Raw genomic sequence first — 18,791 nt, forward strand, 5'->3', positions numbered from 1 at the left:
ATTCTCCGCCTGGTTGCCTAGCCACGGCAGCTGGCCAATCAAGGTGTTCGTATGCAGCGAAGGAAGTAACCAATCAATTTTTTAATTTCCTTCTGTAAACGGGAGTGAATCGGGGTGGATTTGAAATCTCATTAGTCAAAAGTAAGACGTGTAGTGTGCATTTTAACATATGTATTAGTTGAATACATTTGGCATTGAGTCATAAATTCTGAAGAATATTTGAAAGCCCATTTCAGACAAGCTTGAACCTTGAACCTTGAATTACTAACTTTTTAAAAATGTTTTATATTTTTACTAGTGCACTCCATGTATAAAATTTAAATAGACTTCTCCCCCTCCTAATTTAACACCCGCCTCCTTGAACACCAGTTTCTTATTAAAATTTCCTTTTAAAGACATTTTATTCTGTCAATTTGGCTGGATTTATCCTCTCTCATGAGCAATACTCTGGTGTAAGGCCCAGATTTCTTCCCATTTGGATGCTGAAACAGCCCCCTGATCCTAGTTCCTCCAATCCCTTCTAGAAGCCATACTCAATTGTCTTATAGCTTCTCCAATCTATCGTATAAGGCATGATCAATTGTCGTTACTTCAGTCCTCTTCTGGAAAACTTCTACTCAAATGCAGGCAGTCATGGCTTGAAGTGAGCACTTACTGATTGACATATTTCAGTAAATTGTCTGGTATCTCTGAGCCTCAGTTTCCTCATCAGTAAATATGGAAGTAATTAGGTCAAAGGAGATAATGTCTGTAAAGCACTTAATCAGGGTCATCTTATATTTGTACATATAAATATAAGTATCTTCTATTGTTTCTTACTATTATTTCTTCTATTATTTCTTACTTATATTTGTATATGTATCTTCTATTATTTATATCTTCTATTATTGCTTACTATTATTTAATGTCTCCTTTTTTGTTAATCTTTTTATTATATCTTCAAAGTTTTTTATAATCTTGCCTTGATTCCATCCATCTGTCCATTCTTATTTCTAATAATCCTTCCCATATCTCATTTCTCATCACCGTGTGTTCATCACTCTGATCAGACAGTCTCCTCATAGAGCCTCAGATTCTTCATGTTATACTGGTGTCATTCCGTAACTTCTACTGATCCTTCAGCAGATATTCAAACTCATGTATCACTTTCTAGTGGAAGATTACTTCGTTATAAGCTTTCACAAAATCATGTTAAATTACTTCCATAGATTTTTCTCAGTTCGTAATTATACATTGCTTGTACAGCTATTTAACTAATTGATGTTACCTCCCTGACAATGCAGGGACAACTGTGAGAACAGGAACAGTACAAGTTTTTGTTTTTCACTCTATTCCTAGAGCCTAATATGTAAGTATGTTATGAATATTTGTTGAGAGAATATTGTCAAATTCTTATCTACTGAAATGGGCTCTAATCTTGCCCCTTTTCCAGATCTGAAAAATCTTATCTTTTGAAACTCTATATTAATTCCGTTGGAGGGAATCAATATTTAAACAAACATTTACTGAACACATTCTGCGTGCCCTATATTATAATGGGTAATATAGACGAATTATTTTCCTAAACTTCATGGAGAAATACTGGATAAATAGATAAAATTTACTTAAAGCAAGTGCTTAACTCTGTGTGTGCATGTGTGTGTGCGCACGTGTGTGTGTGTTGGTGGAGTAGGAATGAAGCAGTGTGGTCCAGTAGAAAGAAACAGGGGACTGAGAAATCTGGCCTTTGATACTCGATCCTGAACAAACTTGGGTAAATCACTTCTCCTTTCTAGGCTTCTGTTTCCTTGTCTGTAACCTCAGCAGATTGAATCAGTATTTCTTTAAGATGCCTTCAAACTTTGTGGGTTGAAATAAAACATGTTAAGGTATTAACATATCAGCAAGATTTTTTTAAAAAATCCTTTTATTTAAGGTTTATACGGGTAAATAAATGTATTTAGTAATATATAATTAGAATATTATATTGTGCTTTTCTCTAGGATACAATAAATTAACATTTCTAGTGGTTCTACAGTGGACTTTATAACCATCACTTTTTGCACTTTTAAAATTTATACAATAAGTACAGTATTGAAAAAAGACATTGTGATAGGCCCCATGTGAGGGGGCCTCACATGAACAATGAACAGTGAAAGAAGTGTGGTCTTGGTCCTTATAGAGCTCATCATTAGTGCAGGGTGCATCCATTGTACTTGCCATTTTATACTTACTTTTTTTCTGTAGTTGAGATCTTTCACATTTCTTTATATTTTTTTTCTTTTCTTTCTTTCTTTTTTTTTTTTTTTTTGAGACGGAGTCTTGCTCTATCGCCCAGGCTGGAGTGCAGTGGCGTGATCTCGGATCTCGCCTCACTGCAAGCTCCGCCTCTCGGGTTCACGCCATTCTCCTACTTCAGCCTCCCGAGTAGCTGCGACTACAGGCGCCCGCCACCATGCCCGGCTAAATTTTTTGTATTTTTAGTAGAGACGGGGTTTCACCATGTTAGCCAGGATGGTCTCGATCTCCTGACCTCATGATCCGCCCACCTTGGCCTCCCAAAGTGCAGGGATTATAGGCTTGAGCCACTGCGCCCGGCCTAATATATCATTATTTACATGTGCTTCTTATTCTTGGTTGTTACTTATGTGCAAGTATTCTATTCTCATCAAAATTATAAATTTTTGGAGGTTGCATTGTGTGTGTGGGAATGATCCTAAATCACAAAATTTCATGCCAATTTTAGTTTTTAAATATTCTGTTTTGTTACTATGAATGTACATGAAAATTGTCATTGTATAGCGATATTTATTTGGAAATTGTTGTTGCTTTATATGCAATTAATGGCTAACACACATGGAATGGCTGTTATGCACCAGCATTTGCCATGATTATTTTAACTAATCCTCACAACTGTCTATGTGATACTGTTATCATTCCCATTTTATGAATGGAGAAACTGAGGCCAAGAGTTGTTAAAACACTGGCCCAAAATATTGTTCAATGTATATGTGGGACTTCAAGTCAGGCTCTCTGGCTACTAAAGGCATGCCTTTTCCATGTTATGCATTTTCATATACTCATGTTTCCTTCACATTACTGAGAAAAATACAATTGCTCTGGTAACATAATAAATTCTTAATAAATTTTTATTGAATCATATTTTTAGTAAAATCATGAAATTCGTTTTGGAGCCATATAAATCTTTGTTTCTTTGTTCTTTTCTGTTTTCTAATAAATCCTACTAGCCTTTTTTTTTTTTTTTTTTTTTTTTTTGAGGCAAGATCTCATTCTGTTATCCAGGTTGGAGTGCAGTGGCAAGGTCACAGCTCATGCAGCCTCAACCTCCCAGGCTCAAGCAATCCTCTTACCTCAGCCTCCCTTGTAGCTGGGACTACAGATGTGCACCACCATGAGTGGCTAATTTCCTTCCTTCCTTTCCTCCCTTCCTCCCTCCCTCCCTCCCTCCCTCCCTCCCTCTCTCTCTCTCTCTCTCTCTCTCTTTCTTTCTTTCTTTCTTTCTTTCTTTCTTTCTTTCTTTCTTTCTTTCTTTTTTGATACAGGGTCTTGCTCTGTCAGTCAGGCTCGGGTGCAGTGGCGTGATCATCACTCACTGCAGCCTCCACCTGATGGGTTCAAGCAATCTTTCTGATTGCTCAGCCTCTCGAGTAGCTGGGACTACAAGCATGCACCTCCACACCTGGCTAATTTTATTATTACTACTTGTAGAGATGGGGGTCTCCCTGTGTCACTCAGGCCGTCTTGAACTCCTGGGTTCAAGCGATCCTCCCGTGTCGGACTCTTAAAGTGTTAGGCTTAACAGGCTTGAGCCACCGCACTGGGCATTGATAAGCCCTATTAGATTCAATAGAATTATCTAGGGGAGAGAAAACAGTGAGAACAGAAAGAAAAAATATCTGGAGCTATTTTATGCCAACTTGTGAATTTACATGATTTTAAGTGTTTGGAGATTTTTCTAAAGACATGTATTTTCAAAGCACCAAATTTTGTACTTTGGTTGCATGATATTATACGATCTTCAAAACAACCCTATGAAGTAGGTGCTATAATCATTCCCTTTTTAGGGGTAAGGAAATTAAGGCTTTGCAAGATTAAGACACTTGCCTAAATATTTACTCTGGGTTAAAATACCAACTTGCCTTTACCCACATCATAGTAAATAGTAAGACAACTTACTTGCTCCTTTCTCCTCTCATTTTCTTTCCCTCTTTCCTTACTGAATTTGCAGTCTACCAAAATATGTGACTTACTGATGTTCTATTATTATTCCTTGCTACAAGGAATAATAGTAATAATGGTAACATTTAACACTTAATAGTAATTTAACATTTAATAGTAATAACAATTAATAGTAATAGTAATAACTATTAATAACATTAATAGTAATAGTAATAGTTAAACATTTATTAGGTATTAGTAATAGTAATAAACATTTGGTAGTAATTTAATATTTAATAGTAATAATGATAACATTTAACATTTAACACTTACTATATGTCAGGCATTGTTCTAAGCAATTTACATGTATTAATTTAATCTGTATAAAATTCCTGTATGGTAGCTACTATTGTTGTGTCCCTTAATTGAGATAATGCATGAAATGTGTTAGGCATATCTTCTAGTATAAAGGAGAGTGTAGTGTAGAGGTTCAATTAATACTAACTACTATTATTAATTTTGTCTGCACTTACATTTGGGACACACACAGTTTTACATATGTTAATCTTTTACGCATTAACGTGAGGGCTTTCTATGTGTGTGTGTGTGTGTGTGTGTGTGTGTGTGTGTCTGTCTATAATTGCTATGCAATCACAGAATCTTAGACAAAAAGGGGAATATATAAACCAACATTCCAACAAATAGAGTAATTCATTTTCCAGCTTCTTTGACAGTTTTATTCTGTCATGTTCTTCTGACCTCTTACTGAATTCTGCTTAATGAGTTCACTGAGTTTTGAAGACATTTATTCTTTTGATAGCTCTATTTTTTAGAAAGTCTTGTTTCGTATTGAGTTGAAATTAACCTTCCTGGGATGGTACCTGATTGTACAGAAAAACAATGTACCCTTGAACATTGAAATCAACTGGGTCTGGCCTTCAATCCTGACTCTATCATTTGCTAGCTGTGGCTCTAACTTAAGTTACTTAAGTTACTCAGTATCTCAGTACCTCATTTTCTCTTTCTGTAAAAGGAAGATCATAATCCCTATTGCAGAGGGTTATTGTGGTGACTCATTGAAACACGTTTCCATTATTAAGTAGTGCACTCACAGGGTGCTTTGTACCAATTTACTCTGCCCCCGTAATTTCACATCTGGCAGGCCATGCCCTCCCCTCTGCACCACGCTAAGCTAGCAAGAGGCATCTTAGTTCAAGTATATGGAGAACAGGGACTAAGGTGCCTGCCAAGGAAATGTGGACTGGCTTCATTAACTGCTATTAGATCCAGTTTGCCACATTACTCACAGGCTGGCACTGCACGGTATCAAAGAGCAGAAACCCTTGCAGAAGTATTGACCTTACCTCCAAATGGCTACCGGGGTTTTGTTCAGGCATAAATCAAATCTGGAAAGAGGTTCCCTAGAGAACTCAGCTACCAGCTATGCAGCAGCAAGTCACTGGGGTAAAGAAAGCATGGGAGCAAGCTATTAGTTATTATGGACTGCGAGACTGAACAGCTCACAATGTCAGGGATGGTTTGGGGGTGGGTAAAACTGGGCAAAAGTCAATCCTTTCAGCCCCATGATGGAAATAATATTTCTAAATAATAGCATAGGAGTTATTCAATATATTTTTTTATTTTTGGCCATATAAATGCATGCATGGTTGCATGAATAAATAAATGGCTAGGGGATGCATAAATGTCATTCAAAGGTGCATATTCACCATCTAGTTTTCACATCATCTATTCATTTATTTACCAGATTTGTTATATGCTAAGGACTATGGTAGGTGCTAGAAATTTCAACATTAATGTGATACAAAGTCTCTCAAATAATTGTTAATCTAGTAGGAAAGGATGTGAATATCTAATTATGAAATAATATGGTTAGTGTAGTAACATTATAGTGGGAACTCTATTGAAGGAAAACAAAATTATTTCTGCTGGAGTTTGGGGAACAGAAATGAAACAAGGATTCTCATTGAACGATACGTTTGAATTGAATCGTAAGGAATGAGTAGTTTTACAAGTGAGAAGAGGAGGATAAGAAGTACATTTTGGCCTAGCACAGTGGCTCACACCTGTAATCCCAGCACTTTAGGAGGCTGAGGCAGGTGGATCACCTGAGGTTAGGAGTTCAAAACCAGCCTGACCAATATGATGAAACTCCATATCTACTAAAAACACAAAAATTAGCCGGGTGTGGTGGCGGGCGTCTGTAATCCCAGCTATTCTGGAGGCTGAGGCGGGAAAATTGCTTGACCCAGGCAGTGGAGGTTGCAGTGAGCCAAGATCATGCCAGTGCACTCCAGCCTGGGCAACAAAGTGAGATTCTGTCTCAAAAAAAAAAAAAAAAAAAAAAAAAAAACCAGAAAAAAGTACATTTCAGGCAGAAGGAATAGCATTTATGTTTATAAGCCATTTTGGGAAAGAGTAAACAATCTAGGATAAATAGAATGCAGCAAGAGAAAGCTGTAGGACCTGAAGCTTAAAAGGAAGGTTGAAAGAAGACTTGGATGGACTCTAAGTAGAGAAAGAAATTGTTCATGATGGATAAATAATTCTGACACTTATTCATGTCTTCTAGTTTTGTTCACTTTCCAACCACATTCATTTTTTGATCTGTTATGTCTGTTGGTCACTCCCTGCCTACAGACGGTGCCCTGCAAGATCCATCATTGCCACATTTGGCCTAGAATAGTGCTGTCTTAACTGGAAGTCTGTACGTGCTTCCTAAAGCTGTAAAACCCTTAAAGTGGACAAATAATGTTACACTTAACTGGTCACAAAGTCTCTCTTTCCCTTTTCTTTAAAGTTTCCTTAAAATGAATACTTGAGAAGGCATAACTTTATTCATTCACTCATTTGTGTATTCATTCACTCATTATGTATCTTGGTCCTGTGAAGGACCAAGAGCAATACTGTCAAAATCCCTGGATGTCATCACATCTCTATCATGTCCTTCATCTCTATCTTATTCTTTTCCTGATCACTTTCACCTAATTACTTTTACATTTCTTAGATACAGGCACAAAATCCATCATGCATATTGTCCCCTGAGTTGTTTTATCTCCACTGGAAATCCAGAAATGCTCAGGCTCTCAATTTCAGGAGTTACCAGCCAGTTCCCTTTAGCAAGGAAATTTACTGTAGAAAATAAGTCACTTTTAAGATTGCAAGAGTCCACTAGACTTTCAGAATCCATTGTTAGGAGCACTATTGACTCATCAGAAAATACCAAAACAACACAGAATATTTAATATTTCATTACACACGAACCACTTGCTAAGAAGTCCCAATTCTGTTATTCCAAACTGAAATTATGACTATCTTCTTTTGGACTCCAAGTTATTTATAGAAAAATGAACTTTGCATTTCTGGTAGTATATTTTCATGAAAATGAAACTTAATGGTTGAAAAATAAAGTAAAATTTCAAATCATTAATCAAAGCCCCAAAGTTGTGATGAATATTGAACAATACAAGAGCATCACAAAATATAAGATTTTCTGTAAAGAATAATTTTGATAAATTACATGGATATTAGCATATACAAATATTGTATTTCCTTTCTTTTCTGACAATACTCAAAGTGTTATTTATCCCTGTTATGCAAACATGAAAAAATATGTGACTAAATCTATGCCTTCTTAAACATGAGGCTCATTCAAAAATTTAGGTGATACTTATGTTCTCTAGAGTCTTTCTTTTCCAAGGTAGACACACAGCTGGTTTTTCCCTAGATTCTTCTGTTGTTTGTTGAAAAACATGATATTTCTGTATGGCCATTCCAGGTCGCTGATTAGTTTATCAAATGAATTCAACAAATGGCTCCAGTTGAAATGTGATCAGCTTGAAAAACATCAGTAATTCCTGCTTATGTTAGAACATTATTATTATTTATTAATCCAGTCTAAAAAATCTCTAACTGTTTCTTTAGGGAATGGATTAGTGAAGATGTCAAATGCCCAATCTAATGACAAAATTCTTGGGCAGAAATTGGAAATACAAGTCCAGTAATGAACTGAAAACACACATTAATTTAACTAAAATGAAATTTTATGATATCTCTTAAATTTTCATTATGTTTTATTTTATTTATCATTTCTCTTCAGTTAAATTATTTCCTCAAAGTTAGTGGCCACATTTTTAAGAGGCAACATAAAGCTGTAGACCTACAAATACAAAGAGCTAAGAAAATGCAAAAAAAAAAAAACAACTTGTGTTATAGTCTTAATTCACCCACTTATACGTAACCTTAGCAAGTCTTTAAATCTCTGGGTTTCATATTTTCCACCAATAATACCCATTCCATTCCTCATAGAATTGCAAAAAAAATCAAATGATGTAATGAATAAAAATATACCCTAACAATTATAAAACTCTGTACAGATTATGGGACCATGACTCTTCCTCATTCACAAGAATGCACTTAGTAAGTACATCTAACATATAAATTAATAACACGTTTGTGTCTCCACAGCACCAAGGGAGGTTAGCTACTTCTCTAAATTAAAAATAGATTTTCTTCTAATAATTCATTTAATACAGCTGGTGTGGACAAAGTGAGTAATGACGGGTAAACTACAGTTAAAGAAAAATCGTGTTTTCTAAAATCATAATTATAATAATTTGATGTTCTCTATCCTTGGTCTTTGGTGTGAAAAAATTTCTTTGGAGTGCTGGTAAAAGGATTTTTGTAGCTTTTGGCCTGAAAGGATCAAGTCCCACAGTGATCACAATGTGCTCAAGCCCTTCCTGCTCCGTAGGTATTACAGTCCTGAGTTAAAAAGAATACAGATGTCTGCAGATGAAAAGAAAACATATGAAATTCTCACTCTCAAGCCAGAGAGAATTCAAGCCAATCCAAGTGTGAAGGCTAATGTCACAGCTGAAATAGAAGTCAAGAGAGTAGCTTTGAATATAATTAAGATATGACAGTTTCACTCAGATCCCAAACCCAGACACCTAAAAGAAGAATTTCCTCAAAGGTGTGAAGGTGAAAATAAAATGTTTCTGAAATTGGGCCTTGTGCCCAAACTAATGAATTTCCCATTGAGTTACTAATTATCTAGAGACATGACCATCAGAAAAGAGATCTGGGAGATGAATTTTTATTTGAATTATTTGGATTTCTCCTCTCTTTGAGGTCTGTGGAAATTATTCCTTTGGTTAAAAAAAGCGGGGGGACGGGAAGTCCAGAGTTTCAAAAGAACGGAATTCAGGTCTTCTCATTTTAACTAGATCCCTGTTTTTTAGGCATACTGTTGGCATTGAATCTGTGCCAAAAATGCCAGCCATCAAGGGAGAAAGCACAGTAAGTTTAATTTTAACATTATATAACCAGGGTAGGGACTTTGGTTCTACTATGGACCAATCATTCATAAAAGATTTTAAATTTATTAAGTCTCAGAGAAAATAAGCAAAACAACATCAAACAAACTGAAAAATTTTAAATGTTTTTACATGCATACATACACACACACACTAACACACACACACACACACACACTATAAAACAAGAATAAGACCCAGATTTATTTGATAACAAAACCCATACTCTTCCCACCGTATCTTGCTTACAAAGGAATAAGGGCTACGACAACAAAGGGCAGAGAAGAGTATAATTTATTACCTGGAGAATATCAATAACTAATTGTTTTCTACTTTTTAATTTCTCCAATGTTTAAAACCTACATTCAGAGCAGTATTTACTAAAATACATTTTGAAAAATTCTAGTACTTCAACTTAGTAGCCAATGAAAGTTTCAATGATCAAAAAAGTTGGAAACTCTATAATATACATACTTTTTGGGAAATTGTCACTGACTATTGCCCTGTTAAGGCCTTTAACATCTCTTACTCAATTTTGGTTTTTGTGTTTTTAATATTTATTTAGTCATGCAATATTCTCTTGGAAATTCTGATTTGGAGGTCACATTTTAAATGAGATGATTAGAACATCTCACAACAGTGTTATCAGTTATAATCAGAATTATAGTACAAATTATTATTAAAGTGAAGCCAAAGAACTTGAAAACCAAAGACCTAGGGATTCAAACTTTATCTTAGACTCTTGAGGAGCCAAATGATATTTTAGTGCATATCAAACGTTTTTTAAAGTATGCTCCATAGGAATGTTCAGAGAGACAAGTATGTTTTTGGGGTTCTAATTCCAAGAGAATATGAGGACAGCTCTTCCTTTTTCCAAAAAAAAAAAAATCACTTTTATATATCAGACTTCTATGCCATAGGTGGTGATTAGATACTCTTTTCTGATTGTTTTGATTATCTATGTTTTAGTTATTGCAGAATACAGTAGCAATCCACAATAAAACTTGTACTCATTGATATTCCAACTTACTACACATCAGTGACTGAAATGAAATACTCCTTAGATCTTGGGAATCCAAAGGGCTTCCTTTTTTCTTACAGCTTGCCTTGTTGATCCAAAATGAACCTCCCAAAACATCACCATCGTCATGCCACACATCAAGTCAGAAATCTTCATTTGTTTTCTCATGGCTTCCAGAAGAGTCTGCATTAATACATTATCATGTTTTTTGGGGGTGTAGCTAAATTCTGTCTTCTTAAAAAATAGATAAATAAAAAATAACCTTCAACTTTTCCAGCCTGCAATGATCTCACATACTATTTTTGATTCCTCCATAAGTTACGCATTTTATCCTTGGTCGTATATTGTTTTTTACACATATTAGTTGCTTTATTATATCCTTGACCAGATATAAAAAACTTGGGATAATAGAAAGCACATAGTAATGTCCAAGCCAACTGGAAGTTGAACAGGGATTCAACTACTTTCCAACAATGTGAACGTTATCAAATCATTTGAATTATCTGAGTCTCATTGATTTTCCAGGAGGCTTGTAAGGATTGCTAATAATGTGTCCACTGTGACACTTGACACATAATATATATTTAACAAACATTAGTTGTGCCAAACCTTTTTTAAAGCCAAAAGCTTTAAAGAAGCTTCTACCCACCATGGTGCTCATTGCACAGTGTTATCCTTAAGAAGAATGTAATCATAACTTGTTGAATCAAATAACCTGAAAAAATTTATTTATTGACCTTATTCAGTCATCAATTACACAAACCATATTTTTAGGTACTTCAGGCATTCAAAAAATATTTAATGAATTGGTCTGTATGTGTCAGGCATTGTACTAGTCTATGGGGATACAGTACTGAACGGAACAAAAATCTCTGCCTTCCTAGAGAACACATGATGAGCACCTCACATTCCCTGCCTGGTTATTAGTGGCCTGCCTGGCTTTGCCATATCTGTGTCTAACTAATTTCAGGATATTAGCGGCCTATATATTACCACTTGAAATATAACCAGGCTTTAGCATTTTAGAGGCTAAAAATGGTGTCAATTTTCATAATGTCATTAATATATTATAGAGAGTTGTGAAAAAATCAATTTTCCCCATAGTATCTAATAAAATATTTTTTTCATTTTGAACTAAAATAATCTTACGAATATTCTTCCTCTTATTTCTGAACTAGCCTCTATATACAAATGATGAGTTACTGGTATATTAAGCCAAAAATTAATAGGCATCATTATAGTAAATGCTTGATTTGTCATAAATCAATGATCACCATTATCGATTTATAGCACCCAAGAATTTTTCCAGCTGTGCCAAGAGTTTCTAAATTATAGAAATCAGAATCCATTTTTATGAAAATAAATATAATTTATTCTTATGATTACCAGAATTTCTGTGGAGACAATATCTACTTCACATCCTCTACTGAATCCCTATGCCCTGATTTTTTATTTAAGAAAGTATGGTCTTAGTATTCAAACCGGTGCTTTATTTTTCATTTTTTACTCATTTAATTTTTTATAAATAAAGAAGGCACATTCATGGTAAAAAGGAATTAAGAGTACAGAAGAGAATGAGATAATTAAACTTTAAAGGTCCCTTTCTCCACCCTCAAACTCTTCTACTTTGCCCCAGAAGTAACTACTTGTTGTTTGTTTATATTCTAGAAAGGTACACACATATGCATATAGATTTTTTTAAAATAAATTGATCATTTTATACGTAATAGTTCATAATGATCTTGACACTAAATTCTATATTTTGATTATCTTTTCACCATTAAAACATCAATTTTCTTTTAACTTTATTGAAGTATAATCTACATAGAGGAAAATTCACCAATTTTAAGTGTACATTTTATTGAGTTTTGATGTGTGTATTAACATAGTCACCGACACAGTCATATTTACATTACTCTAAAAGTTTCCTTTAAATTTCTTTACAATGAAGCTCCTTCTTAGACCTCCTGCCACTGATGTGCTATCTCTATTGGTTTTACCTTTTCTAACAATTCAAATAAGTGAAACCATGCAGCGTGTGATCTTCTGTGGCTGGCTTTTTTTTTTTTCACCTACCAAAATGCCATTGTGGTTTATCCAATTGTTACATGTATTAATAGTTCATTTCTTTTCATTGCCAAATATTATTCTGTTATCTCTATATACCATGATTTATTTATCTACTCACCAGGTGATGGACATTTGCATGGTGCTCAATTTTTGGCTATTTAAATAAATCTACTATGAACACTCAAGCACAAATCTTTGTGTAAATATGTGTTTTCATTTCTCCTGGTAAACACCTAGATGTGGAATTGCTGGTTTATGTGGTAAGTGTATGTCATTGAGAAACTGCCAAACTTATTTTCACCAAACCACATTCTACTAGCAGTGTATGAAGGCTACAGTCTCATACACTGCTAGTGTATATGTCCTTGCCACACCTGCTATTGTTAATCTTTGTAATTTTAGCTATTTTAGTGGCTATGTAGTTGTATGCCATTGTGGTGATTTTAATTTGCATTTCTCTAACAACTAAAGTTTTTGAGCATCTTTTTATATGCATATTTGCTATTCTTATATCTTCTTGGTAAAATATTTCTTCAAAATTTTTTCCATTTTTGATTGGGCTATTTTTACTCTTGTTATTGATTAATAAAGTGTTCTTTCTATATATTCTGGAAACAAATTCTTTTTTTAAATTTTATTTTAAGTTCTGGGGTACATATGCAGGATGTGCAGGTTTGTTACATTGGTAAACATGTGTCATGGTGGTTTGCTGCACCTATCAACGCATTACCTAAGTATTAAGCCTGGCATGCATTAGCTATTTTTCCTGATGCTCTCCCCAGCCCCCGCCCTCGCCATACAGGCTCCAGTATGTGTTGTTTCCCTCCCTGTATCCAAGTGTTCTCATTGTCCCGCTCCCAGTTATAACTGAGAACCTGTGTTGTTTGGTTCAGAAACAAAGTTCTTTATCAGATATATGTTTGGCAAATATTACTCTCATGCTGTGGCTTGCCTTTTGATTCTCATTACAATGTCTTTTAATGAGATCTATCATGTTTTCTTTATCATCTATTGCTTTTTGTGTCCTAGCTAACTTTCCTCAACCCAGGGTCACATTGATTTTCTTCTACCTTTGTTTTCCTGGAAGTTTTATATGTGTGACTATTACCTTTAGTTTTTTTATTCATTTCAAATTAAATTTGTGTGTAGTATGTGGCAAGGGTGTAGGCTAATTTTTTGTGTATGGTTATCTAATCAGTCCAGCATAATTTGTTTGAAAGATTATATTTTAGGTTGCTTCGGTGACTTCGTTGAACATCAATTGATAAGAAGGAACCTATTTCTGGGATCTCTATTCTCTTCCACTTAGATATATTTTTACATTTGTACCATACTGTTTTAATTATCGGAGTTTTATATTAAGTGTGTAAATTTAGTAGTAAAAGTCCTTAAACTTTAATTTTTTTCTAACCCATTTTGTTATTCTGGGTCCTTCACATTTTAAAAATAAACTTTACATTTAGCTCATCAATTCTACCACGTAAAAAAAAACCTTACTGAGATTTTACTGTGAATTGTGGATTAACTTGTAGAAAACTAACATTTTGATGTTAACTCTTCCAGTCTCTCTATTTATTTAGGTTTTCTTCAATTTCTCTCAGCAATATTTTGTAATTTTCAGTGCACAGCTTTTGCACATATTTTGTTAACTTTATTCCTGAATATTAATAATTTTGATGCTGCTGTAAATGCTATTATTTTTAAAGGTCAATTTCTACTTCTTGCTAATAGACGTACAATCCATTTATTATGCATACTTTATATTCAGTAACGTTAATGTACTTATTAATTCTAGTAACTTATTTTTATAAGTCAAATAGAGTTTTCTGTATAAACATCAATATTAACTGGATATAATACAATCGTATGTCTTCCTCTTGTCCTAAGACTTCCAATATGGTCTTTAGTAAAAGTGTAGAGAGAGGACATCCTTGTATTGTTTCCAATCTTTTTTTTTTTTTTTTTTTTTGAGAGGGAGTCTTGCTGTGTCTCCCAGGCTTGAGAGCGGTGGCGCGATCTCAGCTCACTGCAAGCTCCACACCACCCCACCACCCCCAACCCCCCCGCCTCCCTGGGTTCACGCCATTCTCCTGCCTCAGCCTCCCAGGTAGCTGGGAATATAGGCGCCCGCCACCACGCGCCTGGCTAATTTTCTGTATTTTTAGTAGAGACGGGGTTTCACCGTGTTAGCCAGGATGGTCTCGATCTCCTGATCTCGTGATCCACCCGCCTCAGCCTCCCAAAGTGCTGGGATTACAGGCGTGAGCCACCGTGCCCGGCCCCGTATTGTTTGTAATCTTAAGAAGAAAACACTTAGTCTTTTACCATTAATTATGATACTAATTACAGGTTTTTCATAGATATTCATTATCTGATTGAGAAATTATTATTTTTATTCCTAGCTTTGTTTGTTTGTTTTTGAGACAGTCTTGCTCCATTGCCCAGGTGCAATCTGGGCTCACTACAACCTCTGCCTTTCGGACTCAAGTGATTCTCCTGCTTCAGACTTTCAAGTAGCTGGGATTACAGGTGTGCAACACCACAGCCTGCTGGGTTTTTTTTTTTTTTTTGTAGTTTTAGTGAAGACAAGGTTTCGCAATGTTGGCCAGGATGGTCTTGAACCCCTGGCCTCAAGCAATCTGCCCACCTTAGCCTCCCAAAGTGTTGGGATTACAAGAGTGAGTCACCACTCCTGGCCTATTCCTAGCTTTCTGAGAGGTTATTTTTTAGTTATCAATGGGTATTGAGTTTTGTTAAATGCTTTTTCTGAATCTATTAAGACTATCATACAGTTTTTACTTTTTAACCTGTTAACACGATGGTTTAATTTACATATGCATACATTACAGGAATTTTTAATATAATTCATGCATTTATACATTTATACATTTTGTTTTATAACCTTCTGTTGACACGTAATTCTTTATCTTGGTTATTTTTTCATAATCAAAATATTATAAAGATCTACCCTGCTTTTTAATAACTAGCTAAAATCCCATTGTATGGATGTACCACAATTTAATTAACTGTTAGCACATTTATAAACATTTAAGTCATTTCCAAATTTTTTTGCAACTATAAAAATTGCTGTGATTAATACTCCTAGAAGTGGAATTCCTGCATTCAGGTGTATCAGCATTTAATAGTTTGACAGATATTGCCAAATTTCACTTCAAAAAAAAAAAGGCTCAAAAAGCATTTCTACCTATAATTATTGAAAGTATCTTTACTTTCACTAATACTGAGAATTAGCAAATGTTTAAATCTTTGCCAAGATTATAGGCATTGTATTTTTTTAATTTTGTGTTTCTTTAATTATGTATTTGAGAATGATGGGGAATAATGTTATGCTATCAAACAAATGTTGATTTGCTATTCTAACTCCAGAAGGTTGGGCACAAGTGCAAGAATAATAACAGCTACTACTTGTGAAGCATTTACCATGTGCTAGACACTGCCCTAAGCACTTTTGTCATATTATAACATTTAATTGTAATAATTCTATGACATAGGTAATGTTATAATCTTCATTTTACATATAATTTCAGAGATAAATAGAGAAAATAAGATATTTTACTAACTACTCAGCTGCAAGAGGAGACTCCTCTTATTTCTCACATGTTGAAATCAACCAACAACTGTTTTAAAATGCCAATCTCAATGAGTAGAATAGGAATTAAAATTCCAGCTTCAAATCTTCCTAAGAGTAAATTAAGGAGTCAGCCAAATAATATCTTTAACAACTCACTGTTTCTTAGTCTAAGCATATTTTTTTCATTTTTTTCTAAACACAAGTGAAGATGCCTCCAATGACTGATTTCTATGTTGTATTTCTAAGCCTTAAAAACAAGTGCTCAATCAAATATCTAATAAGAGCGTTACAATGATAAATGGTTTCATTTAGAGACCTTGGTACTTCCAAACCCAACTCATTAGGTTTGAAGTGGTACAATTAGAGCAGTGTGGGGGATGGTCTGGGGGATGTGTGGATCAGAGCGCTCAAGGGAATTGCAGTTTTAATTTTAATTTGTGGGATTTCACTTCCGATTTCTTCTCTTTTCACTTCCAATCAGAGCTGCAAACTACTTTTTATGCACCTTCTGCAGCCTTGTATGACTTCCCTGAGGAACTTACACTTGTTTTCCTCTCCATTAATGTGCAATTTCTCCTCCTGTTTCATTGTGTAGAGCTAAGAAGGTGAAGTAATTGAAAGCGCCCCTTTCTTTTCACTCTGGTAAGTAAGGAGATCTTTTTTCATGCTGACAGTGGGGTCTCAGAGGCCAGACTCTGTTTGCACTAGAAACTTGCTTTTCTAAACCTCTAAACACTTCACCATATGTTCAGCTCACATGTTCTCCTGGCTGGTTAATTTAACCCATGCAAGGTTCCTCTGTGCTTGGGGTGAACACTGGGGCCATAGCCTGCTTGCGAATGATTATTTATGGGGATGTAAATTCACAGGTCACTTGTAGTGACCTCTGGGTGCTTCACTGAACTGTGACAGACACCTCTGTGGAGTGAGTACAGAGGAAAGATATTTCAAATTTAAAGATGAAACACAATACACAGGTCTGACACCTAGGGTTTTATTTAGTTCATATTCAGTTCATAAATTTAAAGCAATATATGCTTCTAAAAATTATGTATTTCTTGTATACATTGATAACACTCAACCTGATCCAAAATACCAGTTTACACAAATGCATGTAATGCCACTGGGTAACACAGATATGAGGCAAAAAAAAAAAAATAATAATAATAATAGAGGTAACAATGAAACTAAAGTAAGGAATTAAAAAAGCATTGTTCCCAAAATCTATACCATGCAATCCTACATCATCGCTAGAGATAAGTCATCTATGTGACTCTAAATTTTCTAGCAGCCAAAGCAAAAACTTAAAGCAAATTTCAAAGTTTACTATAGACATATGGTATAAACTTTCTAGTTTCTTGGCAGTATATTTTACACAATAATGAGATTTGATATAAATTTCTCCTGGAACAGCACATTGAGGGGGTCTCTGTAACGGAGTTCTCTGTGAGATTACAGTGATCAACATCTTCAGTCATGATCCTATAATCAATATTAAAACTGATTTTTAATATTCCTGAATGAAGTTTAATCTCTTCCATATCAATTACAATTTAGTAAAAGCAATTTTATTAAGATGGGTCAAAACAATGTAGTACAGGTATTCATCTCTCCGATATATTTTTGTTCATTTAAGAACAAAATGTGAATGATGCAGAGAGAAAAAATGAAGGGAATATGAAAAAGCTAACCTGGAAATATTAATTCCTACAAACAGACTTGATTATAACCGGTAAATAAAGAATTATAGTTTATATTCTCCAGCACAAACTGAGTGCAGATATGTTTTGATAATTAACTGAAAGAGAGCAGAGCTAATATTTAAAGATATTGAGAAATGTGTTGTTGATTTTGGTCTTCATTTATTGCTTCCAGATCTGAAATTACAACAGGCTGAGTGGAGCGGGAATGAGCCTGTGTGTTGCTCAAGCTGTGAAGAGCCAAGTTACAGAAGAGGTAGAGGAAATATGACAGGGCTCAAACAACGGCTGCTGAATTATAATATTTCTGAAGGCCCTAAAGTATGCTCTTTCTTCCCTCACCCCCTTGCCCCTGAGCCAGTCAGGGATGAGACTGGCAGAGCACTACTACTACATCCCTTCTGCTTTCTGTCATAAACCTGGAACACTCTAGCATGATTAAAGAGATTCAAACAATGCACTCAACTCCAATTCTTTCTGAATCCATTCTTGCCAAGAAATTATAAAGTGGAATATGTGAGTATTTTTCTTAAATAATGGTGATTTTGAGAACTTGAGAAAAGCTCTGAGCCCTCTTCCCTCTCCGCTCAGCACTCCAAACACCCCTACACATTGTTTTGTGCAATTTTGGAGTGTTTATATAACCCCTGATATCCAGATTAAGAACTTTGGTTTTAAAGGCCCTGCTATTTATAGGAAAGTCCAGACTCTTTAAATGGTCCTGCCATTCCTTCAGGTAGGACGTGCTTTCGTCTTCCATTCTCCAATCAATTCCTGCCATATCCCTGACCCCAAGCAAGACCCTGAATACTTCAGTTTCTTAAAATATGTCATGCTTATCATGCCTCAGAGTATTTGTTTATACCCTTTCGTCTGCCCTTTCTTTCTAATTTTTCTGGCAAACTCTCACAGAG

General features: G+C 34.9%; 1 long non-coding RNA gene across 1 annotated transcript; it reads left to right on the top strand.

Moving 5' to 3' along the window:
• Nucleotides 1-23: 23 nt before the first annotated feature.
• On the top strand, nt 24-18,337 carry LOC105376588 (uncharacterized). Its single transcript, XR_931118.3, has 3 exons — nt 24-141; nt 16,773-16,819; nt 18,053-18,337. It is a non-coding gene; the product is annotated as an uncharacterized LOC105376588 (long non-coding RNA).
• Nucleotides 18,338-18,791: the final 454 nt, after the last annotated feature.

This window comes from Homo sapiens, chromosome 11 (assembly GCF_000001405.40).
Source record: "Homo sapiens chromosome 11, GRCh38.p14 Primary Assembly".
NCBI classification, from domain to species: Eukaryota; Metazoa; Chordata; class Mammalia; order Primates; family Hominidae; genus Homo; species Homo sapiens.